General features: G+C 42.8%; 1 protein-coding gene across 1 annotated transcript in view; it reads left to right on the top strand.

Annotated features, from left to right (window-relative positions):
* Nucleotides 1–27,625, top strand: part of PARP4 (poly(ADP-ribose) polymerase family member 4) — a 91,848-nt gene that overhangs the window by 30,406 nt on the left and 33,817 nt on the right. The window contains exons 13-22 of the mRNA NM_006437.4: nt 4,097–4,280; nt 4,516–4,672; nt 6,777–6,901; nt 12,348–12,479; nt 13,263–13,349; nt 22,237–22,401; nt 23,063–23,109; nt 23,251–23,329; nt 25,895–26,032; nt 27,161–27,356. Of these exons, the coding sequence (NP_006428.2) occupies nt 4,097–4,280; nt 4,516–4,672; nt 6,777–6,901; nt 12,348–12,479; nt 13,263–13,349; nt 22,237–22,401; nt 23,063–23,109; nt 23,251–23,329; nt 25,895–26,032; nt 27,161–27,356 (1,310 nt within the window). The remainder of the gene's footprint in view (nt 1–4,096; nt 4,281–4,515; nt 4,673–6,776; nt 6,902–12,347; nt 12,480–13,262; nt 13,350–22,236; nt 22,402–23,062; nt 23,110–23,250; nt 23,330–25,894; nt 26,033–27,160; nt 27,357–27,625) is intronic.

The following is a 27,625-nucleotide window of genomic DNA, read 5'->3' as shown; positions in this document are numbered from 1 at the left end:
TTGAAAATTGGAGTCAATTATCTCAAACACTGCTGCTGCTTTGTCCACTAAGTTTATGTGATATTCAAAATCCTTTGTTGTCAGTTCAACAGTGTTCACAACATCTTCACCAGGAATGGATTCCATCTCAAGAAACCACTTTCTTCACTCATAAGAAGCAACTCCTCATTCTTTCAAGTTTGATCATGAGATTGCAGCAATTCAGTCCCATCTTCAGGCTCCAATTGTAATTCTAGTTCTCCTGCTGCTTCTGCCACATCTACAGTGACTTTCTTCACTGAAGTTTGAACCCCTCAAAGTCACCCAAGATAGTTAGAGTAAACTTCTTCCAAACCCCTGTTAATACTGATAGGCTGACCTCCTCCCATAATTCATCAAATGCTCTTAAGGGCAAGGAGAATAGCAAATCCTTTCCAGAAGGTTTTCAATTTACTTCGTCCAGATCCATCAGAGGAATCACTGTCTATGGCAGCTATAGCCTTACAAAATGTATTTTTTTCTTTTTAGAGTTGGGGTCTTGATCCATTATTGCCCAGGTGAGAGTACAGTAAGATGCAACCATAGCCATAGCTCCCTGGAACCTCAAACTGCTGAACTCAAGTGATCATCCCACCTCAGACTCCTGGGATTACAGGCATACCTGGCCAAAATGTATTTCTTTCTTTCTTTTTTTCTTTTTTGAGATGGAGTTTGCTCTTGTTGCCCAGGCTGGAGTGCAATGGTGTGATCTTGGCTCACTGCAACCTCCGCCTCCTGGGTTCAAGCGATTCTTCTGTCTCAGCCTCTTGAGTAGCTGGGATTACAGGCGCATGCCACCACGCCTGGCTAATTTTTGTATTTTTAGTAGAGATAGGGTTTCATCATATTGGGCAGGCTGGTCTCGAACTCCTGACCTCAGGTGATCTGCCTGCCTTGGCCTCCCAAAGTGCTGGGATTATAGGCATGAGCCACCACGCCCAGCCCAAAATGTATTTCTTAAATAATAAGACTTGAAAGCTGAAATTACTCCTTGATCCATGGCTGCAGATTGTAAGTTGTGTTAGCAGGCATGAAAACAACAAATTCCTTGTACCTCTCCATCAGAGCTCCTGGATGGCTAGGCGCTTTGCCAGTGAGCAGTCATATTTTGAAAAGAACCTTTTTTGTTGAGCAGTAGATCTATACATTGGGCTTAAAATTCAGTAAACCATTCTGTAAACAGATGTGCTGTCATCCAGGTTTTGTCGTTCCATTTGTAGAGCACAGAAAGAGTAGATTTAGCGCAATTCTTAAGGGCCCTAGGATTTTTGGAATGGTAAGTGAGCACTGGCTTCAGCTTATAGTCACCAGCTGCATTAGCCCCTGACAAGAGTCAGCCTGTCGTCTGAAGCTTTGCAGCCAGCCATTGACTTCTCTCCGGCTGTGGAAGTCCTAGATGGCATTTTCTTCCAATAGAAGGCTGTTTTGTCTACATGGAAAATCTGTTGTGTGGTGAAGCCACCTGCATCAATGATCTTAGCTAGATCTTCTGGAGAACTTGCTGCAGCTTCTACATCAGCACTGGCTGGTTCATCTTCCATTGTTACGTTATAGAGATGGCTTCTTTCCTTAAACCTCAGCCAACCTCTGCTAGCTTCAGGCCTTCTTTCTGCAGTTTCCTCACCTCTCTGAGCCTTCATAGAATTGAACAGAGTTGGGGCCTTGCTCTGGATTAGGCTTTGGCTTAAGAGAATGCTGTGGCTGGTTTGATCTTCTATCCAGACCATTAACATTTTCTTCATATCAGCAATAAGGCTGTTTTGCTTTGTTATCATTCCTATGTTCACTGGAGCAGCACTTTTAATTTCCTTCAAAAATTGTTTCTTTACATTCACCACTTGGATAACTGCCACAAGAGGCCTAGCTTTCAGCCTGTCTTGGTTTTCAACATGCCTTCCTCACCAAGCCTAATCATTTCTAGCTTTTAATTTAAAGTGAAAGATGTACAACCCTTTCTTTCACTTGAACACTTAGAGGCCGCTGTAGGGTTATTATTAATTGGCCTAATTTCAATATTGTTGTATCTCAGGGAATAGGGAGGCCAGAGAAGGAGGAGAGAGATGAGGGAACCACTGGTCAGTGGAGCAGTCAGAACACACAAAACATTTGCCAAGCCCACCACCTTGTATGGGCACAGATTGTTGCAGCCCAAAACAATTGCAATAGTAATGCATCCAGAATTGGTGGGTTCTTGGTCTCACTGACTTCAAGAATGAAGCCGCGGACCCTCGCGGTGAGTGTTACAGTTCCTAAAGGCGGCGTGTCCAGAGTTTGTTCCTTCTGATGTTCAGATGTGTTCGGAGTTTCTTCCTTCTGGTGGGTTCGTGGTCTCGCTGGCTCAGGAGTGAAGCTGCAGACCTTCGCAGTGAGTGTTACAGCTCTTAAGGCGGCGCATCTGGAGTTGTTCGTTCCTCCCGGTGGGCTCGTGGTCTCGCGGGCTTCAGGAGTGAAGCTGCAGACCTTCGTGGTGAGTGTTACAGCTCATAAAGGCAGTGTGGACCCAAAGAGTGAGCAGTAGCAAGATTTATTGCAAAGAGCGAAAGAACAAAGCTTCCACAGTGCGGAAGAGGACCAGAGCGGGTTGCCACTGCTGGCTGGGGCAGCCTGCTTTTATTCTCTTATCTGGCACCACCCACATCCTGCTGATTGGTAGAGTAGGGTGGTCTGTTTTGACAGGGCGCTGATTGGTGCGTTTACAATCCCTGAGCTAGACACAAAGGTTCTCCACCTCCCCACCAGATTAGCTAGACACAGAGTGTCCACACAAAGGTTCTCCAAGGCCCCACCAGAGTAGCTAGATACAGAGTGTCAATTGGTGCACTCACAAACCCTGAGCTAGACACAGGGTGCTGATTGGTGTGTTTACAATCCCTGAGCTAGACATAAAGGTTCTCCACGTCCCCACCAGACTCAGGAGCCCAGCTGGGCCCCCTTTGCCAGAACGTGGTGAGATAGGAAGGAATAGAGAGAGCTCCAGGGAGAAGTCCAGAGTGGGGTTTAATGAGAAGGAAGAAAGCATGCTTGTAAGTTGCAGGAAAAGAGCCCTCCAAAGGGGAGAGGATTTTAGAAGGAATGGGGGAACTGATTTTTTTTTTCAGTAGGTGAAACAAAGAAGGGTCGTCTGGCCATACTTCGGCATTTTGAACTTAATCTTTAAAAAACAGACATGCGTCTCCAAAATGTTGTGTCCAAAGGTGTGTCCTAGTCTGTGCTCCTAATAGCAAGAGTTGCCTTATTAAAGCTGCTGATTCCCAAAGAAAGATAAAACAACATTTCTCATTTGGATATAATTTGAAATGTTTGTTTTTCCTTTCAGGAGGCTTTGTGAGAGCTTGTCTTTCCCTTTGACCAGTTCTTACTCACTTGGTACCCACGGTTCTTATTCCTTTCTGAGCTTTAGTGCAGAGAATTAAATCTACTTTTTCCTAATTAATAAGGTGGTGATTTTTCCTTCTCTTTACCACCCTGGTATTTATGATAGTAAAATGTGTATATTTTAGTAGCTAACAAAGATTTAGGAGAACAGTAGAATTCATTTCTCTCTGGAAACAAAGTGCTTTGAGCACTGCCTAGCACAACATAAGGGCAGTATACATATTTGTCACATAGAAATGCGAAATAGGCCAGGCATGGTTGCTCATGCCTGTAATCCCAGCACTTTGGGAGGCTGAGGAGGGAGGATCACTTGAGCCCAGGAGTTCGAGACCAGCCTGGGAAACATAGTGAGACCCCATCTTAGCAGAAAATTTTAAAAGTTAGCTAGGTGTGGTGCACATCTATAGTCCCAGCTACTCAGGAGGCTGAGGCAGGAGGATCAGTTGAGCCCAGGAGTTGGAGACTGCAATAAGCTATGATCATGCCACTGCACCCTAGCCTGAGTAACAGAGCAAAATTCTGTCTAAAAAAAAAGAAGAAATATTAAATAAATAAGTGCATAATAAAGTTCTAAATTGAGTCTTTGGAGATATTTCAATAATAGGAAAATTTAGAACAGTTTACCAGGAAAGTCTTTTCAATAGTATGTTATTGACAAGTCACTCTAAGCTGTAAATATGTGTTTATTTCCTTTCGCATGTAGTACAAGTATCAAGTACTCACACCCGGGAGAGACAGATGGCACCAGACTCCTGCTCATTTGTGACGTAGCCCTCGGAAAGTGTATGGACTTACATGAGAAGGACTTTTCCTTAACTGAAGCACCACCAGGCTACGACAGTGTGCATGGAGTTTCGCAAACAGCCTCTGTCACCACAGACTTTGAGGTATTTTTATTTCAAGGAAGAAGCAAAGAGGGTCTTGAATGCTCAAAGAAAGGCCTTAGTTTTTTGCTCCTATTTTCATTAAATATGCTTAAGTTTAAATAATTGTTATATATTTACTGCATGAATTAATTCAACATTTTCTAAATTAGCAAACATGCTTTTATGAAAACATCTGCCAATACAGGTTTTTTGTTGCTTCTGTTGTTAATCACCTACTGATTTCTGTTTGCTCTAGGATGATGAATTTGTTGTCTATAAAACCAATCAGGTTAAAATGAAATATATTATTAAATTTTCCATGCCTGGAGATCAGATAAAGGACTTTCATCCTAGTGATCATACTGAATTAGAGGAATACAGACCTGAGTTTTCAAATTTTTCAAAGGTTGAAGGTAGGACAATTTTCTTGAATGCTGTTTTATGTTATTATATTTATAGACCTCAAATGTTATATTTTCAATGGAATGTATATTTGCATTTGTTATATCTATGACCTCATCCATAAGTATTTCATTTCCTTTCAATCTCAAAATTGTTTCCCACAAATTTCTCTCAGTGTTAACATCAGTCAAACCCCTCTGCCTAGTATCAAAATAAAGCACTTAATTTTAAAATATATATATTTCTTTTTTTTTGAGACAGGGTCTCACTCTGTCCCCCAGGCTGGAGTACAGTGTGTGATCAAAGTGCACTGCAGCCTCAAACTCCTGGGTTTCAAATGATCCTCCTGACTCAGCCTCCTGAGTAGCTAGGACTACCATCCGTGACTTTTTTTTTTAGAGACAAATTCTCACTATGTTGCTTAGGCTGGCCTGAAATTCCTGGCATTAAGCGATCCTCCTGCCTTGGTATCCCAAAATGCTGGGATTACAGATATGAGCCACCATGGCCAGCCTCATTTCCTTTTTTATCTTGCGTACATAACAACTAGGATGATTGAGAAATTCCATGTGACTTCATTAACACACTGAAGTTGAGCTTATTCGCTTCAGGAATAGCCAAGGCTAAAACCTGTGGAACCTTGCTAAGATGTCATGGTGCAGAAAGTGTAATGGGGTGGGGAGAGCAGACAGCAGAGCCGCTGTAGAGCCAGGAAGCCCAGGGTTTGAGTGTCGCCCTGCCACCTTGCAGTTTTGAAACTGCATGACCTTTTGCGCTCCACCTTCTCTCCGATGGGAATGAGAGCAGTACCCGCATGACAGAATTGCTGTAAGGGCTGAAGGGGAAATTGAAGGCACTGAGTAAATTGCCATGTGTGGTGCGTGTGTTAGCCATAGTAGTGCGAGCATACAAGAGGATATTCACTTCTCAGAGTATCATGAGGCCAAACAATTACAGTATTAATTAGTAGGACTGTAAGAACACATTAACATTTTTGACCATGCTCAAATTATTTTTTGTCAGAAACGCATGAGTTCATGTGTGTTCAGGGGTGACTCCAGTTTTTTCTCTGGGAGTCATTAAGTGAAATATCTGGCAAGACAATATGTATTTATATTTCCTAACCTTATCTGTATGTTTGTGCCACTTAGAATAGGATGTGTACATTTTTCAATATGCTGCCATAGGAGTTGATTCAGTCTTCCTTGGATTGAAAATCTACGTTGTTTGATGCCATCCCAAAATGCTTGTGTGGCACCATAAATAATAGTGACCGAGCCCTTCCACACTATAAGCCAGGGAATGCAGACACCTGGATTCAGGCTTCAGCCACACTTCAGACAGTCTGAAGACCTCTGTGTATTTGTGTGTATGTTTAAATGTATGTCAAGTAATGCTGTGTTTTCAGGAGGACACCCCACAGTCTCTACATTAAAAAGGCAGAAGAGCACATGTCTGTAGTCGCAGCTACTCGAGAGGCTAAGGCAGGAGGATTACTTGAGCACAGGAGTTCAAAACCAGCCTGGGCAACATAGTGAAACTCCAATCTCTACCAAAGAAAAAAAAAAGAAAAGAAGAAAAAAAAATTTAAGCTGAAGGGTCTTTAAAAAACAAAAAAAAAGGCAGGCCAGGTGTAGTGTCTCACGCCCATAGTCCCAGCACTTTGGGAGGTCAAGGCAGGTAGATCCCTTGAGTCCAGGAGTTCAAGACCAGCCTGGACAACATGGCTAAACCTCATCTCTACAAAAAATACCAAAAAATTAGCTGGGCATTGTGGTGCATGCCTATAGTCCCAGCTACTCGGGAGGCTGAGACAGGAGGATCACCTGAGCCAGAGAGGAGGGGTCTACTGTGAGCAGAGATTGTGCCACTGCACTCCCACTTGGGTGACAGAGTGACATGCTATCTCAAAAAAAAAAAGGCAGAAGGCACCTCTCATTTTTCTCATGTGGGTTCACTTGCTTTTCAGAATTGGCTATTGAAAATCATAAAATGCTATTTGCCCATTTTCCCTAAAATAAAATGCATGAAGGCTTGAAGAAGGAATAAAGATCAAGATAACAAAAATAGACAGGGATGGTTTTGAAAGCTAATAGTAACATTTTTAACGTTTAGATTACCAGTTACCAGATGCCAAAACTTCCAGCAGCACCAAGGCCGGCCTCCAGGATGCCTCTGGGAACTTGGTTCCTCTGGAGGATGTCCACATCAAAGGGAGAATCATAGACACTGTAGCCCAGGTATGTTGTCTGTGGCTTTATGACACTTAAACTACATGGATGTAAACCATACATGAGAATTTGATTGCAGTTGCATGAACTGAAGGGAATAGATAGATTTCTAAAATGTATTTTATTCAAGAGATATTCACTGAGCACTCCATGCCAGGGACTAGCTAGGCTCTGAGCATCCAGCAGTGCACAATACAAAAGCTCTGCCCTTGTGGAGCACACACTGTGTGGGGGAGTAGGCAATAATCATGATGAAAGAGTGAAACACATAACATGTTAGGTGGTGACAGGTGCTAAAGAGAAAAAGGAAAGCAGGAGGAGCTGCTTTCACAGATAGGAGCTGTGAAAGACAGGGGCTTTGAACCTGTAAACAGAATGGCCATGGAGGCCTCCCTGAGAAGGTGACATCTGCATACAGACCTGAAGGAAGTGGGGGCTAAACTGTGTGGACGTCAGGGGATGCTTATTCCAGGCAGCGGGAACATCACATGCCAAGGCTCAGAGGTAGGAAGGAGGCTGATCTGGCCCAGGCGCGCCAAGGAGATGCACTGTGGCTGCAGTGGGGTGGAAAGGGGAGAGTGCATGGGGACTGAGTCAGAGAGGTGAGGGGCTCTCACATCAGTACACAGGTCATGCTGTCCTTGACTCTGAGTGAAATGGAAGCTTCTAGATGTTTGGCAGAGGAATGACATGAACAGACCTGTTTTAACCAGCTCACTCTGGCCACCATGTTGGGAACAGTAGGAAGAGGCCCAGTGGGAGAAATGTTAGGTCAAGTTCCCTAGAAAGCAGACTCTGGATGGAATTTGTTTTCAGGAAGCCTGTGGGACTGTGCCTGCGGGAGCCGCACCTGTGAGGGAGTGAGGGAGGCAGGACGTGGCCGAGGAGACAACAGAGTCCTCAGATGATCTTGGGGGAAGCTCTGGGCCAGAGTGGTCCTTGAGAGAAGGTCTGAATCAAGGCAAGGGGGCCGGGCTTTGTAGCCCCACTGGGGCCAGTCCTGGGATGTGGGCTGCTCCGGGGAGGGGTCAGAACCTTGGCTAAGGCAGTTTGTCTTTGGCTGAGGATGGTTCCTGGGGAGGCGCCCCACAGGTGACACTCCTAGCAGTCTCAGCCCTGAAGGGGACACAGCAGGCCCAACGTCACATCACATAGAGGAGACGATTGACAATTCAGTTAAGGGACCTGGTGATGTGGAGAAGAAGGTTTGCAGTGGGGGTGTAGGAAGTGATGGAGTCCGCCAAGGCCTGAGAGCAGAGCCAATCAGATTTGCTGGTGGGGACGGGACACAAGAGAAAGACAGCGGCCCAGGAAGACAGCAGAGTGTTTGCCCTGAATAACTAGAAGGATCATGTTTGCACTTACTAGAATGGTCAAAGTCACAGGAGGGCAGGTTGGGGGCCATCAGGAGTTTATCTTTGGCCACGTAGGTCTTGTGACTACATAGGACCAGGGAGGAGACCCAAGTTGGACTTATAAGTGGGGAGTCAGCAGCATTCACATAGTGTTTAAAGTCATGAGCCCAGATTAAACACCCAGAGAATCAGTAGAGCACAGAGGCCAACGTGGAGACGTAGGGGAGGAGGCTGAGTCAGCCACAGAGACCAGGAGGGAGCGGCTGTGGAGACACACGAGGACAGCTGAACAGGGAGGGGAGGCTGGTGGGTCTCATGAATAACAACCCAGCCCTGATCACTGGATTTAGCAATGAGATTGTTGGTGACCTTTGCCTTTTGATGGTGTGGTGGGGGTGAAAGGCTGATCAGAGTGAGTTCAAGAGGGAATGGGAGGAAGAACTGGGAGACAGAGGAGAGAAGATGAGACAGCAGCTGAAGAGAAGTGGGGTTGAGTATTTTCTTTCTCATTTTAAGATGCAAGAAACAACAGCATGTGTGGGAGTCAGCGCAGGAGGGAAACCTGGCGACCTGGGAGAGGGGAATTGCTGGAACTGCTTCCTTCTCTATACCCTTCTCTATGTTTTATTGCATAAATAGGAAACATTGTTGAAAAGACTTTCCTGGTAAACTGTTCTGAATTTTACGTTTATCGAAATATCTCCAAAGACTCAATTTAGAACTTTATTATGCCCTTATTTATTTAACATTTCTTTGTAACAAACATGTATATTGCCCTTATGTTGTGCCAGGCAGTGCTCAAAGCACTTTCTTCCCAGAGAGAGATGAATTCTACTGTTCTCCCAAACCTTTGTTAGCTACTAAAATATACACATTTTGCTATCATAAATACCAGGGTGGTGGCCGGTGCGGTGGTTCATGCCTGTAATCCCAGGACGTTGGGAGGGAGGCTGAGGTAGGAGGATTGCTTCAGCTCAGGAGTTCCAGACCAGCCTGGGGAACATGGAGAAACCCCATCTCTACAAAAATTGGCTGAGCGCAGTGGCGTACACCTGTAGTCCCATCTACTTGGGAGGTCGAGATGGGAGGATGGCTTGCCATTACTAGAATGGGCAAAGTCACAGGAGGGCAGGTTGGAGGAGGCAGAGGTTGCAATGAGCCAAGATCGCACCACTGCACTCCAACCTGGGTGATAGAGTGAGACCCTGTCTCAAAAAAAAAAAAAAAAAAAAAACTCAGGGTGTTGAAAGAGAAGGAGAAAATCCCACCTTATTAAATTATCTGCACTGAAGCTCAGAAAGAGCATTAAATACCAAGTGAGTAAGAACTGGTCAAAGCAAAAGACAAGCATCACAGGAGGGTTATCTAATGCGGGTGCTGGGGCCGCAGCCAGGAGCTCGCAGCAGGTTCATCATCCACAGTCACAGGATGGAAGGCAGCGTTTCAGGGGTGCCAAGTGGCCAGATGCAGTGGTAGAGCTTGGAAAGTTAAGTTTTTGGTTTTCTAAAATTGAATTGGTTTGCTAAGATTTGGCCTCATGATCAGCTTCTGACTCTGAAGATTGCATTGAACAACCATAAAGGCCTTTGAGGAGATTAAGAACGTTCAAGTACAGTGCCATGATGTTCTGATCCCTGTAGAGGAAAATTAGTTCCATTTCAGTGATCACCTTAATCTGGGGAGACGGGGCGTTGGGTGAGAAGAGCAGTTTGGATATAGCTGACCTCCACCCCTGGGCCCACTCTGACCCATACACACATCCTCAAGGCAGCTCAGAGCAACGTCATAGACTTTGAAAAGACCCAGCTGTGGGCTCATGGGACATGTTCCATTTCCACCAATCCCTTTGGCACCACTTAGGATCTGTAAACATAATGGTTACCATTTCCTAAGAGTCAGGCCCTCAGCCGAGTTTTCCACATGCAGTACTTAATTCTCTCAGACTCCATGCCAAGTGCTATAATTATGCCCATTGTTTGGAAGAAGAAGCTGAGGCCCAGAGACAAACAATATGATAAAGCCCAAATTTGAACTCAGATCATTCTGATTCCAGCGTCCAGATTCTTAACCAGTACACCATAGTGCAGCATGGTAGATCATACAAAGCAAAGGATCCGGAGTTTGTAAGGCTTAGCTTTGAATTCTTGTTTATTCTTTCTAGTGCTGTGAGTTTGGGAAAGTTACTTAACTCTTTTGCCTCGTTTTCCTCATGTGTAAAATGGAAATAATAATATCTGCCCATCAGTGTAGTGGCTATTCAATCTAATAAATATAAAGGACTTAGGGCATTGTTTTTGTGTGCAAAACAAATTATGACGAGGTTACAGGGAGAGGCGTGTGTCCTCCATGCCTTACTTGGGATTAGATGACTTGTACCATTTGATATTTCAAACCCGAAGAGGCCTGTTCCCTGGGGAAGTTTGCCCCAAAATAACTCGATTTAGCAGTGAATTTCTCACTCATTTTATGATGAAACAGCCAGACTGTAGATTTAGCTTGAGTATCCAAGCAGAGGCTGGGGTGTAGATTCTTATATGTGCATGGCTCATACATTTTGACCCTTCTTGGAATAAATTGATGATGTTAAGCTTAGTTACATCATGGTTTTATCTAATGGAAGAAAATTAAGATGTCAAAATTTGTTACATTGTATTAGTTTCTGTTCTAAGGCCTGGTAAAAATACTTTTATTGTCGTTATCTAAAATTATTGACCTTTGTGAGTGCCCAGCCACACAGTGTGATATGCAAAGAGAGTGCAGCTGCCACAGGCCTGATGTCTGGGGACTCCTGCGCAAAGGCGGGCCTGCTAACTAGAACAGGCAGGAAGGCTACTGAGTAGGAAGAAACATTAGTCTACACCAAGTACAATTAGATAGTGATCCTGATCATCAAACTCAGGGCAAGCATACATGCCTTTGAGGGTTTCGTAAAACTGAGGAAATCCAAGACAGGATGAGAAGGAGTTCCGTGCACAGTCAAGGGGACAGTGTCTGACGTCCCCCCAGTCAGTACTAGGTGGGCCCCAGTCCTGGTGCCTCCTCACCAGGCACACTCTAAGCAGTCATTGCAGGCAGCATAGCCCAGATCGCTGAGAAACTCCAGGACGCACGTTTGCCTCCTCTTGGGTGGCTGGCCAGACCGGGATTCCAGGAATCCTACCCACTGGCCAGCAAGGTGTTCATTTGCAGGATGGCAAGAGATTCTGTCTCCAGGACGGTGCTGACCTGCTGATTTGGGGAGACTCAAATTGCTCATATTAACAAGGACTCCTTGAAAAATTTTGCCTGGCACCCTACACACCCTAGGGGCAGCCAAGCTTGCAGCAAATCCAGGTGTGGACAATGTTTTCAAATAAGTTAGATTTTTTTTTTTAATTTTTCATTTTGGTGTCTTCCCTGGATTATTGATTACAGATCATTAAATATTTTTGCCTTATTATTGTCACATGTTTAAAATCTTACTGTTTATTGTATGTCTGAGGAGTTTTTTCTTAATTTTCAAATATTTAAAGCCTCCCGCCTTTTCCTGAGTGAGGGAGTGATGAAAACAGTCTGTTGGAAAGATTAATTAGATAATAGAGACAACAGAGAGTAGTGGAGAAGACTTGATTCTGGAAGAACCAACGCACACAGAGATGAGGAGCTAGATGAGGGCTGTGTAGAGAGGGGGAAAGCCACAGAGAGGTCCCCAGGAGGAAAGGCCAAGTCCTGAGAGCTGATAGGATAGAAGGACTATTCTGGAATCATTTCCAGCCAACATGGCACGAAGGAGGCATCAAAGCCCACAAAACGAAAGGGGCAATTTTCCAGCTGTCTTAACAAGAGCTATATTGCGTCTGCTAAGTCAGTGTTGGTAAGACTTCAGGTGGCTTCTATTCCAGTCAGACATGAATGAACCACCTAACCGTGGGACTGGTGCATTTTATCACATGACATGGGCTCTCCATTGCAGAAGTGAAGCCAGGGTTGGGAATTTGAGGGACGTGATACAAATTCAAGGAAATTCAAATAAATATGCAAAATCATTTTCGTTCGTCCTTGTTCCTGCAAATGTAGTCCATGTGGTCTCATCAATTGTATGGATTTTTTTTCTTCTTCAGGTCATTGTTTTTCAGACATACACAAATAAAAGTCACGTGCCCATTGAGGCAAAATATATCTTTCCTTTGGATGACAAGGCCGCTGTGTGTGGCTTCGAAGCCTTCATCAATGGGAAGCACATAGTTGGAGAGGTAAGGCAAGAAGATGCATCGTGCCCGCTCTCGGCTTTCAAAGTCAGCTTCCATTTCCCAGAACCTTTGTTTTTGGAGTCCCCATGGCTACAAGGTTGAGTAGCAGCCTTATCATAAAACGAGAATATTCTTTGAAGAATCAGTTCTTGCGCAGTGAGCCTCCCTCAAGCATCCCTCCGTGATGAAGGGTTTCTACCCCCATCTGTCCAGTCTTCATCTTCAGTGTCTTGCACATTCTTTGCCTTGGCACCGTAAGAGTGATTTCAGTATGAAAAGTTAAAGAGGGCCGGGTGCAGTGGCTCATGCCTGTAATCCCAGCACTTCGGGAGGCTGAGGCAGGTGGATCACTTGAGGTCAGGGGTTCGAGCTGAAATGAAAGCTATTGTAACTTTCTAAAAAAAAAGAAAAGAAACAACAGTTGATTAATTCTTTGTTTATTGTAAGGATTAGTCCACAGTTACAATTAGAAACTACAATTTCCCAAATTTAAAGTAATTATTATGTTTTGTTCCACATAAACTCCCAACCAGAAAAATTTTTTTCACTATTGATTCTGAAATATTTTGATCCCAACTGAAAGAGACTTCTCTTTAGTTGGCCTTTTCTGGTTCAAGTTCTTATCAGATAAGTATATTTCGATGATCACTTCATTTAAGTTTCCATTCACCTTAGACTCAGTTTTTAGTTTTTGCCTGGGTTTTAGTAAACATTGATGTTGTTTTCTTCATTAAAGCCTGAAGTCACTCTTCATGTAAGGAATGATTTAAAACTCATCTTTTCCAGATTAAAGAGAAGGAAGAAGCCCAGCAAGAGTACCTAGAAGCCGTGACCCAGGGCCATGGCGCTTACCTGATGAGTCAGGATGCTCCGGTATGGCTTGGTGTGCATGCCGCATGCATACAGGAGAGGGAAAGAGAGTTAGAACAAGATATGAAATACGAATTTCATGCTAGAGGCTAAGATAATTTGCACTGTTGTAGGCCCCAGAGTTCCACTTGGTCTGAGTAAGGGGAAGCCACGCCAGTCAGACCCATTTGACTTAACAAAGGAGGAAACAGCATCAGTAGTTCCAGACAAACAAGAAGAGCTAGGCCTGTCATTGGGAACTGAGTTTCCCAGAAGGAATGACAGACAAAAAGATAACATTTGAGGTATATAACTTTCATCTTCTGATAAGAGTGTGATATACTGGCTGGGCGCAATGACTTATGCCTGTAATCCCAGCACTTTGGGAGGCTGAGGTGGGCATATCACCTGAGGTCAGGAATTTGAGACCAGCCTGGCCAACATGGTGAAACCCCCTCTTACTAAAAGTACAAAAATTAGCTGGGCATGGTGGCAGGTACCTGTAATCCCAGCTACTGGAGAGGCTGCAGCAGGAGAATCGCTTGAACCTGGGGGGCAGAGGTTGCAGTGAGCCAAAATTGTGCCATTGCACTCCAGCCTGGGCAACAAGAGCGAAACTCCATCTCAAAAAAAAAAAAAAAAAAAAAGGAGTGTGATATATTTACAATTTTCCTGAAGTAAGCTCACCTAGCAGATGGTCCAATCATAAAGCAGGGAGGCATTTCTGCCGGGTCCTCCTTGGGCCAGCTCCTGTGCTTTTAGGTGATTAGCTTTAGCAGGGACGTGACGTGGACAGTGTGGAAGAGGGAATAGCTGGCAGGTCCACTAGACTACTTTCCTTAAATACCAGGTGTTTTCACGAGGCCTCTGGCAGGTGCTAGATTGTGTGTAGTCAGCGTCTAACTCTAGTGCAGGTATTTTAGTTATTCTTGCAGATGGGGCCATATGTTTGAGTATCGCCTCTGAGGGTGACACATGGCCATGGTGTTTTGAAAATTTAATGTTTGCTGGGGCTAGGGGCACATTCAAGATTAATATAGACAAAGGGGTAAATTATTGCTCTTGACATCTAAGATATCCACCTGCAGGATGGGAATAAGTAATGAAGAGGTGATTATTGAACAGTTAAGAATGCTGGCTCTATGTATGGCCAAACTGTATGTATAGAAGCCTGGGGTTCATTTGAGAGGCTGCCACTTAATATTATCAGGTTATCCTCCTACGTGTGTTGGTAAATGTTTCCTCCTTAATACTTACATATTTCCCTAGGAATAGGGTCCACAAGAAAACAGCCTTCACAGAAGGTATTACCTATGGGTAAAGTCTGATCAGAACTATTGCTAACCCAAGCCTTCAGGTCTCCCAGAATGTATTGACATCTTGTGACTATAATGTTCTCATATCATAATATATGGTATTCATGCATTGTTATATAAATACCATATATACCAGGTGCAGTGGCTCATACCTGTAATCCCAGCACTTTTGGAGGCCAAGGCGGGAGGATCACTTGAGCCCAGGAGTTCGAGGCTGCAGTGAGCTCTGATAATACCACTACACACCAACCTGGGCAACAGAGCAAGATTCTGTCTCTAAACAAACAAACAAGTCTTAGCTTAGGAATCCCTCCATCTAAGCTTTTCCTGCCTTCCCCCGGAAAGACCCATGGCTTCATTTTCCCATGGCAACCTGGACATATTTGTCTTATAACTCTTAATATACTGTTTGTAAAGATAGAGGTCTAGCTCGTAATCCCCAATATTTAAGTGTGGAAGTAACAGAAAAGGATAGTTAGTGGTACAATAAAGAGAAAATTGTGGTGCCGAAACCAAGGATGAAGACAGTGCCCAGCCTAGGACGACTTATGTCCTCCTCATTGCCAGATTAAATGGCAGTGTTTCCAAGACTTCAATTTATGTGACCATTTGATGGTTTTCTCCTTTTCAAAACATCTAGACTGACTGACTTGTCACTATAACCCTATACTACTTAGATAGCGTACTGTTGAATTTTGCTGCTTTATCCAATCTGTGAGTTTCTGCACTTTGTATTGTTTAGGTCATTTTTATTTAATACAATTATTGATCTGGTCAGATTTATATCTACCCTCTTGCTAGTTGTTTTCTATTTGTACCATTTGTTCTTTGTTCCTTTCCCTCGCTTTTCCTGCTTTCTCTTGTATTGTTTTTTAAATGATTCCATTGTATCTCCATTATTGGCTTATTAATTTTATCTTTTTTTTTTTTTTTTTGAGACAGAGTCTCACTGTTGCCCAGGCTGGAGTGCAGTGGCGTGATTTTGGCTCACTGCAACCTAACCTCTGCCTCCCAGTTTGAGCGATTCTCCTGCCCCAGCCTCCCAAGTAGCTAGGACTAAAGGCACATACCACCACACCCAGCTAATTTTTGTATTTTTAGTAGAGATGGGGTTTCACCATGTTGGCCAGGCTGGTCTCAAACCGCTAACCTCAAGTGATTCTCCTGCCTCTGCCTCCCAAAGTGCTGAGATTACAGACGTGAGCCACTGCGCCCAGCCAGTTCTCTCTCTCTTAAAAAGTTTTGATTGTTGGCCAGGTGTGGTAGCTCATACCTGTAATCCTAACACTTTGGGAGGCTGAGATAGATGGATCACCTGAGCCCAGGAGTTCAAGACCCCTTGGGCAACATGGTGAAACCCCAGATCTACAAAAAATACAAAAATTAGCTGGGTGTGGTGATGCATGCCTGTAGTCCCAGCTACTTGAGGGGCTGAGTTGGGAGGATCACTTGAGCCTGAGAGGTGGAGGCTGCAATGAGCCATAATGGCGCCACTGCACAGCCTGGGCAACAAAGCGAGACCCTGTCTCAAAAAATAAAAAAATTAAGTTTTGATTGTTGCTCTAAAGCCACATGTTAAATATGTGTTAAATATGGTAGCCACTAATTACATGTGTATATTTACATTTAAATATAAAATAAAATGTTTTATGTGGCCAGTGGCTATCTTATTACTTAGTGCATATGTAGAGCATTTTTATCATCATAGAAAGTTACATTGGTCAGCACTGCTTTAGGGTTTACTACTATATACATCTGTAACTTACCACATACAGCCTACAATATTATACTACTTCATATGTAAGAACCTTACAACCAGAATACATTACATTACAACCAGTATACGTTCGTTTCTTTTTTCCCATATCCTTTGTGATATTGTTGTCGTGTGTTTTATTTCTTCATATATTATAAATTCTACAATGTGTTGTTATATATTCAACTATCTTTTTTTTTTTTAAAGTTCTGGGATACATGTGCAAGACATGCAGGTTTGTTACATAGGCAAATGTGTGCCATGGTGGTTTGCTGCACCTATCAACCCATCACCCAGATATTAAGCCCCACATGCATTAGCTATTTATCCTGATGCTCTCCCTCTCCCTGCCTCCGCTACAGGCCCCAGTGTATGTTGTTTCCCTCCCTGTGTCCATGTGTTCTCATTGTTCAGCTCCCACGTGTAAGTAAGAACATCCTGTGTTCAGTTTTCTGTTCCTGTGTTAGTTTGTGAGGATAATGGCTTCCAGCTTCATTCATGTCCCTGCAAAGGACATGGTCTGCATGGTATTCCATGGTACATATGTACCACATTTTCTTTATCCAGTCTATCATTGATGGGCATTTGGATTGATTCCATGTCTTTGCTATTGTGAATAGTGCTGCAACGAACATACACATGCATGTATCTTTATAATGGAATGATTTATATTCCTTTGGGTATATACCCAGTAATGGGATTGGTGGGTCAAATGGTATTTCTGGTTCTAGGTCTTTGAGGAAGACCCACACTGTCTTCCACAATGGTTGAACTAATTTACACTCCCACCAACAGAGTAAAAGCATTCCTATTTCTCCACAGCCTTGCCAGAATCTGTTGTTTCTTGATTTTTTAACTATCGCCATTCTGACTGGCATGAGATGGTGTCTCATCGTGGTTTTGATTTGCATTTCTCTAATGATCGGTGATGTTTAGCTTTTTTTCATATTTTTTTGCCACATAAATGTCTTCTTTTGAGAAGTGTCTGTTCATGTCCTTTGCCCACTTTTTAATGGGGTTTTTTTTTCTTGTAAATTTGTTTAAGTTCCTTGTAGATTCTGGATATTAGACCTTCATCAGATGGATAGATTGCAAAAATTTTCTCTCATTCTCTAGGTTGTCTGGTCGCTCTGCTGATAGTTTCTTTTGCTGTGCAGAAGCTCTTTAGTTTAATTAGATCCCATTTGTCAATTTTTGCTTTTGCTGCAATTTTTGATGTTTTCCTCATAAAATCTTTGACTGTGCCTATGTCCTGAATGGTATTGCCTAGATTTTCTTCTAGAGTTTTTATAGTTTTTGGTTTTATATTTAAGTCTTTAGTCCGTATCGAGTTATTTTTTGTGTAAGTTTAAGGAAGGGGTCCAGTTTTAATTTTCTGCATATGGCTAGCCAGTTTTCCCAGCACCATTCATTAAATAGGGAATCTTTTCCCCATTGCTTGTTTTTGTCAGGTTTGTTGAAGATCAGACAGTTGTAGATGTGTGGTGTTACTTCTGAGATCTCTATTCTGTTCCATTGGTCTATGTGTCTATTTTTGTACCAGTACCATGCTGTTTTGATTACTGTAGCCTTGTAGTATAGTGTGAAGTCTGGTAGTGTGATGCCTCCAGCTTTGTTCTTTTTGCTTAGGATTGTCTTGGCTCTACAGGCTCTTTTTTGGTTCCATATGAATTTTAACCTAGTTTTTTCTAATTCTGTGAAGAATGTCAATGGTAGTTTAATAGGAGTAGCATTGAAGCTATACATTACTTTGGGCAGTATGGGCATTTTCACGATATTGATTCTTCCTATCCATGAGCATGGAATGTTTTTCCATTTGTTCGTGTCCTCTCTGATTTCCTTGAGCAGTGGTTTATAGTTCTCCTTGAAGAGGTCCTTCACTTCCCTTGCTAGCTGTATTCCTATGTATTTTATTCTCTTTGTAGCAATTGTGAATGGGAGTTCATTCATGATTTGGCTCTCTGCTTGTCTGTTGTTGGTGTATAGGAATGCTTGTGACTTTTGCACATTTATTTTGTATCCTGAGATTTTGCTGAAGTTGCTTATCAGCTTAAGAGGCTTTTGGGCTGAGATGATGGGGTTTTCTAGATATAGGATCTTGTCATCTGCAAACAGAGGTAGTTTGACTTCCTCTCTTCCTATTCAAATAACCTTTATTTCTTTATCTTGACTGAGTGCCCTGGCCGGAACTTCCAATACTATATTGAATAGGAGTGGTGAGAGAGGGCATCCTTGTCTTGTGCTGGTTTTCAAGGGGAATGCTTCCAGCTTTTGCCCATTCAGTATGATATTGGATGTGGGTTTGTCATTAATGGTTCTTATTATTTTGAAATATGTTCCATCAATAACTAGTTTACTGAGAGTTTTTAACATAAAGCAATGTTGAATTGTATTAAAGGCCTTTTCTGTGTCTATTGAGATAATCATGTGGCTTTTGTCTTTAGTTCTGTTTATGTGATGATCAACTATATTTTAAAGCAATTAAAAATAAGGGGAAATGTCTCTACATTTATTCACATTTTTACCGTTTCTGGTGCTCTTCATTTCTTTCTATAGATACAAAGAAATCTTCCTTCTGCTTGAAGAGTTTTCTTTATTTTCTTTTTCTAGCGCAAGTGTGCTAGCAAAGAGTGCATTCCTCTTTTATCTAACAAAGTCTTTCACCTTCATTTTTGAAAGATATTTTTTGCTGAGTATGGGATTCTAGGTGACAGTTTATTTGTTTTCCTTTCAGCATTTTAAATATGTTAACTTCATTGTCTTCTGGCTTATATGGTTTCTGAGCAGAAGTCAGCTCTAATTCTTGTGTTGTTCATCTATATGTGAAGGTGTCTTTTTTTGTCAAGCTATCTTCAAGATTCTCTTTATCTTTGGTTTTCAGTGGTTTGACTATGATGTGTTTATGTTATTTTTTAAATTTATTGCTTATTTTGCTTGGAGTTCTCTGAGTTTGGATTGTCTCACATTCATTTTGGGACAGTCTTGATCTTTATCTATTGAAATATTTCTTCTCCCTCATTCTCTCTCTTTCTCCTTCTGAGACTTCAATACATATACATTAGACCGTATTTGATATTGCACCACAGCTTTTGGAGCTCTGTTTTCACTTTCATTTCTTGTTGCATTTTATTTTGGATAATTTCTATTGACCTAGGTTCAAGTTCATTCATTCTTTTCTCAGCTATTGTCAGTCAGCTGATAGGCTTGTCAAATTCTTCAACTTTGATAATGTGTTTGTTTCTAGCATTTTTGACACTTAAAATATAATTCAGTCTCTCTAATGAAAGGTTCCATCTATTCATATGTATTCCTCACCTTTTCTGTATGTCTTTTCATATATTAATCATAGTCCTGTCTGTTGCAGTGTCATGGTCATCTCTGAATCTGCCTGTTAATTGCTTTATCTTGACATTGGGTCATTTTTTCCTTGCTTTTTAAAAATGTGTATATTTTGGAATTTGTGATTAAATGTTGGACATTGTGTGTAAAAGAAGAAGAGAGACTGAAATAAATGACATTTATGCCCAGAAGTGGCAACTCCTGTTCTTTCAGGTTAGTGTAGGGGTTGAAGAGTTGAGTTTGAGTTCTGCTGTTGTTATCATTACTCTCTGTTGTTATTATTACTCTCCGTCTCAAATTCCTCCAGTGGTGGACTGCCACTACCTGTGCCTCTTGGGTTCTGGATCCGGAACAATTCTCACTGAGGTTCATTCTCTGCCCCCAGCTTTCAGCAGACTCTGCACACTGTCCGACAGAGGTGATTACAGCAACTCTTCCCCTCCCGCAGTGCTAGGCTGCTGTTGCTTGATGTGCTGTACTAGGCTCCTGGTGGGGCAGGGGCATTCTTCTGGTTCAGCCTCAGTCTTAGGCAGGGCCTGCAGTCCTGGACCTTAGGATGGGAACTAATTAGCACTTCTGTTCATTGTCCTATCTTAGTGGCAGCCAAATTCTGCCTTGTGTCTGTTAAGAGTTGTTTGGGAGATGGTTTCCTGCCTTTCCTCCAGTTGTAGCAACCCCTGCTTTGTACTAGTGCAGGATCCTGGGCCTAGGAGGGTGTCATCCCCTGCCCCATGGGGAGGTGGCTGTTTCTCTCTAAAGCAGTGGAGCTTTACCTGGGCACAGGGCTAGAAAGGAAGGCTTCTGATCCCTGGTTTACTTCTGCCCCTTCCCCGCAGCTCTGGAAGTGAGAGTTTGCTGCCCTTCCCCCAGCAGCTGGAGGCTTTTGCTTCATGTGGGGAAAGGATCCAGGGAAGTGGCCCCAGCACCTCCCACACACCTGCTCCACGGAGAGGTGCTCCCCTTGGTCTCCTGCCCTGCTCAGCCTTTCCAGTGGGCCCAGTGGAAGGCTGTGGGGATATGGGGAAACGCCTGCAAGAGAATGCAAACTCCCCTTGGGTCAGGAGCTCCCAATTCTTCTAAACCAGTAAGCTTACCCACTCTCAGCCGGGAGGAGTTCACACAGATCCTGTGTCCCATCTGTCCCCTCTTTGGAATTCAGTTCGCTTGGTTGATGAGTTCAAAACAAGTTATGATTTTGTAGATTGCCTGGTGTGTTATAACAGAAGTGACATTTTCTGCATCCACCTATATCCTACCCAGAAACAGAACTGCAATCCCACTCTATTAAGTGGCAGTGTCTCAAATGAACCCCAGGTGTTTATACATACATTTCTTTTAAGGGCTAGCACTATTAAGTATTTAATAATCATCTCTTTATTGTCTGTTTCCATCCTGTAAATGGATGTCTTTGATGTCAAAAGTAATAATTTAACCTTTAAGCCTAAATTAATCCTAATCTAAATATACAAAATTTTCATGATGGGGTGGTCAACTAGAATGGTGAACATAGTTGGGGATGTTGAGAGGATCTCTGCATAGTTATCAGAAAAAAATGTATCTAGCCTCTTTTTTCTGCCCTAGCTAGTCATGGGGTTGCCACCTTATATAGCTATTATCAACATCCCTTTAAAAGAAAGCTAAAGACTTTTTAGTAAAAAAATAACATGATAGGCTGGGTGTGGTAGCTCACACCTGTAATCCCAGCACTTTGGGAGCAGAAGGTGGAAGAGTCACTTGAGGCCTGGAGTTTGAGACCAGCCTGGGCAACCCCATCTGTACAAAAATATTTAAAAATCAGCCAGGCATGGTGGTGCGTGCCTGTAGTCCCATCTACTTAAGAGGATGGCTTAGACCTGGGGTTTCAAGGCTACATTAAGCTGTGACTGCACCACTGCCCTCCAGCCTGGATGACGGAGCAAGATCCTATCTCTAAATAATGAATAAATAAAAATAAAAATAACATGAGAAATTACCATAGGGTAAAATAATTAAGCAAGGGCCAAGCTTAGAAAAAACTGCCCTGGTTCTACAGCTGCTGGCAAAAGTGGTGTTGGGTGCCATGGAGGTCAGGGAGGGTCTTCAAGAAAGGGCTTTGTGGAGGCCATCTGTGCAGCAGAGCCCACCCATGCAGCAGAGCCCACCCATGCAGCAGAGCCCACCCGTGCAGCAGAGCCCACCCGTGCAGCAGAGCCCACGTGTGCAGAGAGCTCACACATGAGAGCCCCCTGGGGCAGAGTCCATGAGTGCCTCTTCCCAGTTCCGCTGCCAAGGGGGCCCCTCTCCATCTGCCTGCCACGGACATCACCCTGTTCCCACCACTGGTGAATGGCTCCAGGATTCTCCGTTAGCCCCACCAATGTGTCTTTTAGGTTTTATTACTGTTTTCTGAGGAAGAATTTGGCAGGTTGTCATTCAAGTTGCTTAAGAAGTACGTGGAGTTAGCTGGCATATAATGGGTATGCTTTCAAGTTGGAAGCTAAGTCATATGTTTCTGTTTCAGGACGTTTTTACTGTAAGTGTTGGAAACTTACCCCCTAAGGCTAAGGTTCTTATAAAAATTACCTACATCACAGAACTCAGCATCCTGGGCACTGTTGGTGTCTTTTTCATGCCCGCCACCGTAGCACCCTGGCAACAGGACAAGGCTTTGAATGAAAACCTTCAGGTTTGTACGCATAAGATTTGAAGAAGCATTTTGGCAGCAGTGGAGGGGGAGTGGTGGAGGGCTGTGGAGGAATTTATGCCTGGGGAGAAAAACATGTAAAATAATCTTTTAGGCATAAAGTTAATTTTACTGACATGCATTTAGATACATTATGTGTATAAAATGAAAAGAATAAAAGTTACAGATATGATCAATAAGCATATTTTTATTCTGCTTAATCACTCAAAAAATGTTATATCTGTAGTGCAAGTTCATCATGAAGAACTAGATAAGCATAGAGAATACAAATAAGCCAAAATAAGAAAATTAAAACCATCCTTTATCCCATTGCCCAGAGTTAATGGTTAATACTTCGGTATATCCCTCCAAACTTCCTACTTTGTATGTACAGCACATGTATAAAATGTGTGTGTGTGTGTGTGTGCGTGTGTGTGTGTGTATACACACAGACATATGTAGAGTTTAAAATCTCTGTCAAAATGGTGAGTTGTATTTTAGAAGTTCCTGTCATTCCATGAGCAAACTTTCTGTGTTTCACTGCTTGAAAGTGAAACCAGCTGTCTTGCTGACAGTTGTGGCCTTGCCAAGATTACATTCACTTTAGTCTCATTGTGAAACTTAATATATGCTTAGTTATACAAATGTATTTTTCTTTTAACAGGATACAGTAGAGAAGATTTGTATAAAAGAAATAGGAACAAAGCAAAGGTTAGTACCTAAAATATAAAACCTGTCAATTCAATGGATATTGGTTTTCTGGTTTAAATTTCCATTTAGAATTGTTTGAAATAATTTCAGATAGAAATTTAAGATCGTAGACTAAGACAACTTTCTCTTCATTTTTGCTAGCTTCTCTTTGACTATGTCTATTGAGATGCCGTATGTGATTGAATTCATTTTCAGTGATACACATGAACTGAAACAAAAGGTTAGTGCATCTTTGATTTCTTAAGAGCTGTTATTTTAACACTACTTTTATCTTATCAAAGCAATGTATGCACGTGGTTGAAAAGTGAAATAATGCTGACAAAACTTCTAACAAGAAGCACTACTCCTGCCCCTGATTCTCCCCAGACCAGTTTCCAGAGACAGTGAATCATTTGGACTATTTGAGCTGTTTCTTTGATTTTGCCTCCAATTTTTAAATATTAATTTTTAATGCTTTTTCTTGATTTCGCCTGTTTCAGAAATTATCTTTTGACTTCCTGTTTTGGAAGTTGGACGTGTAGCTCTTGCCCCCTCCACCCACCTAACTCACTACTTTTCCTCTCCCCTTCATTCCAAAAGACCTGTTTCACAATAGTCAGTGATTATCATGTAAATGATGTTTACCACTGAGCCAAGAAATGTATAATATTATGATGAGTTTTTTTTGTTTGTTTTGTTTTATTTTTTGAGACAGGGTCTTGCTCTGTCACCCAGACTAGAGTACAGTGGTGCAGTCATGGCTCACTTCATCCTTGACCTCCTTGGATCAAACAACCCTCCTGCTTCAGGCTCCTGAGTAGCTAGGGCTACAGGCCTGTGCCAGCACACCTGGCTAATTAAAAAAAAAAAAAACTTGGCTGAGTGCGGTGGCTCATGCCTGTAATCCCAGCACTTTGGGAGGCTGAGGTGGGTGGATCACGAGGTCAGGAGATCGAGACCATCCTGGCTAACATGGTGAAACCTCGTCTCCACTAAAAATACAAAAAATTAGCCGGGTGTGGTGGTGGGCACCTGTGGTCCCAGCTACTCGGGAGGCTGAGGCAGGAGAATGGCGTGAACCCAGGAGGCGGAGCTTGCAGTGAGCTGAGATTGCGCCACTGCACTCCAGCCTGGGCGTCAGAGCGAGACTCCATCTCAAAAAAAAAAAAAAAAAATTGTAGAGACAGGGTCTCACCATGTTGCCCAGGCTTTTCTCAAACTCTTGGGTTCAAGGGATCCTTTTTGCTCTGGCTTCCCGAAGTGCTAGAATGACAGGTGTGAGCTACCACACCCAGCCTATTTTCCTTTTTAGAATTCTGCAGGAACTTCAGACCTTCTCTTTATCTCTGGTATTCTGAAATTTCATAACAGTATGATTTTCATTCATTGTATGTAACTGGTGGTCTTTAGTTCTGAGAAATTTTATTGTATTAAAAAAAAGTTCCTCTCTTGTGCCTTTCTGCAGTGCCTTTCTTTTTTTCTTTTTTCTTTTTTTTTTTTTTTTTTTTTTTTTTGAGACAGAGTCTTACTCTGTTTCCCAGGTTGGAGTGCAGTGGTGGGATCATGGCCCACTGCAAACTCCACCTCCTGGGTTCAAACGATTCTCATGCCTCAGCCTCCTGAGTAGCTGGAACTACAGGTGCCTGCCACCACGCCCAGCTAAATTTTCTATTTTTAGTAGAGACGGGGTTTCCCATGTTGGCCAGGCTGGTCTCAAACTCCTGACCTCAGGTGATCTGCCTGCCTTGGCCTCCCAAAGTGTTGGGATTACAGGCGTGAGCCACTACATAGTGGTGGAGGAGTCCTCAGTAGCAACAAGAGAGTGCCAGGCCCGTTGCATGGACACTTTTCACGCCCCTGCTTGTATCTCATCTGCCAACATATCATTGGCCACAGCAAGTCCTTTGGCCAACTCCAGTTTCAAGGGTGGAAATATAGCTGCTGCCTCGTGGCAGGAGGAACTTCAAAAGTCACATTGCAAAGGGGCACGCAGACAGGAGTGGAGAGACTTTGTGGTCATGTGACACTCTAGCACATGCCTTTGCCTTTGTTGTTGTAAAGCTTATTTACATTTTCAACAGCTTTTTTATATTCATGAAAATATAATATACAAATAAGTTATGATTCTAAGATTTCTGTTGAATTTTCTATTTTAGTCTTCTCGGTTTTAATTATCTGATGTGCCGTCTGCTATACCCAGATAAGTCTAACTGAATGGGTAGATCTATAATCTTTGGATCCAGGGTTTGAGACTGTCTCACACTTATTTGACCGTGTGAATCAACCTTAGGATTGCAGAAGGGTGACTGATATGCTCATGGTCTTCTAAAACCTACATTTTGTTATTTTGTTTTTTTTGTTTTGTTTTGTTTTGTTTTTGTTTTGAGACAGAGTTTCCCTGTTGTTACCCAGGCTGGAGTGCAGTGGCGCGATCTTGGCTCACTGCAACCTTTACCTCCTGGGTTCAAGCGATTCTCCTGCCTCAGCCTCCTGACTAGCTGGGAGTACAGGTGCCCACCATTACGCCCAGCTAATTTTTTGTATTTTTAGTAGAGACAGGGTTTCACCATGTTGGCCAGGCTGGCCTCAAACTCCACCCACCTCGGCGTCTCAAAGTGCTGAGATTACAGGTGTGAGCCACTGCACCCGGCCTACATTTCATTATTTTGGAATTTACCACTACTTTGTTGATTCTTAATAGAGTTATGTAAGCTATGCAAGGGTTTGCTCCATGACAGGTAAGTGCAGACTGCTAATATGGTGTTACTCCATTACTCACCTTGTTGTCGCGGTGTTTGTTTTGCAGCGCACAGACTGCAAAGCTGTCATTAGCACCATGGAAGGCAGCTCCTTAGACAGCAGTGGATTTTCTCTCCACATCGGTTTGTCTGCTGCCTATCTCCCAAGAATGTGGGTTGAAAAACATCCAGAAAAAGAAAGCGAGGTATACTCCTTTTTACTTAGACATAGGAGACACTATTGAAAAAATGTTTCAGAATAAGCTGGTTAAACTTGCAAATTATTGATTGTCCTGAAAAACTAGCATTACAAAATGAACTCTCACATCTCAAGATTCTGCAACTAAAAATATTTATGATATCAAGCATGCCAAACTTCTGACGTTTCATCCAAAACCCTTATGTGGATGATTTGCCTGTACAAATTCGCATTTTTACCTTAAGCTCCACCAAAAGAACATGTGCCATCAGACATTACATTGGGTATTCTCTATAACTTGTTATAGTTTTAAAATACTGATACTGGAAAAACAAATAAGCAGTTATTTGTGGTTGGTAATAAGATCATTTTGTGTGGCTGTGACAAAGAGTCTCTTCTTAAGTTAAAATAAAAATAGAAACTTAGGCTGGGTGTGGTGGCTCACACCTGTAATCCCAGCACTTTGAGAGGCCAAGGCAGATGGATTGCTTGAGCTCAGGAGTTTGAAACCAGCCTGGGAAACATAGTGAGACCTCGTCTCTGTAAAAAATTAAGAAAAAAAATTAGCCAGGTGTGGTCATGCACACCTGTGGTTTCAGCTTCTCAGGAGGCTAAGACAGGGCGATCACTTGAGTCCAGGAGGTTGAGGTTGAACTGAGCTGTGATCGTGCCACTGCATACCAGCCTGGACAACAGAGGGAGACCCTGTCTCAAAAAAAAAAAAAAAAAAAAAGGAAACTTACATGATAGTAGTTAAATATTGGTTAATTAATAGAACAAAAGGTATGTGTGTGTATTTTAGTAATCACAATGGCATGTATATTCCTCTTAGAATAGTGTGATATATATATATATATATATATATATTTGTTCCATAATGTTGATGCTATATGATTTTTCAGATACTAATTCTTGACCTCTCAGAAGTTTATGTCAGAAGTTGGAAACTCCCAGTTCTAACATTCTACTTTTGACTGGAACTCCTAGTAGGCCATCTTGTTGTTAATTACATCTTATTCTTTCTGTTTTTATAGCATTAGTTTACCTCACTAGAAAGTTTTGGAGTTTTCTAAGTAGACCTTTTGCAGTTGAAGTGACAAGAAGCTCCAGTCCAGCACCTTCTTTCTCCTTTCAGGCTTGCATGCTTGTCTTTCAACCCGATCTCGATGTCGACCTCCCTGACCTAGCCAGTGAGAGCGAAGTGATTATTTGTCTTGACTGCTCCAGTTCCATGGAGGGTGTGACATTCTTGCAAGCCAAGCAAATCGCCTTGCATGCGCTGTCCTTGGTGGGTGAGAAGCAGAAAGTAAATATTATCCAGTTCGGCACAGGTGAGTGCGCTTTGGCCCTGGTCCTGCGTGTGCTTCCCCTACATGTGAATCACATTCTGTAGAGCTGACAACTGTGGGTACCCGACCCTGCCTGTGTGGTGAGGGGCAGCCTAGTATGAAATTGAAGAACAAGAGCTCTGGAGCTGGACCCCCTAGGTCCCGGTTCCAGCTGTACCACTCACAGGTTCTGTGTGTCACCTTGGGCGCACTACTTGAACTTCTGGTGCCTCCGTTTCCTCATCTGCGATCTGAGGATAATTGTCCCTAAC

This window comes from Homo sapiens, chromosome 13 (assembly GCF_000001405.40).
Source record: "Homo sapiens chromosome 13, GRCh38.p14 Primary Assembly".
NCBI lineage: Eukaryota > Metazoa > Chordata > Mammalia > Primates > Hominidae > Homo > Homo sapiens.
The sequence above is the reverse complement of the archived record's forward strand: the minus strand, read 5'-3'. Positions and strand labels throughout refer to the sequence as shown.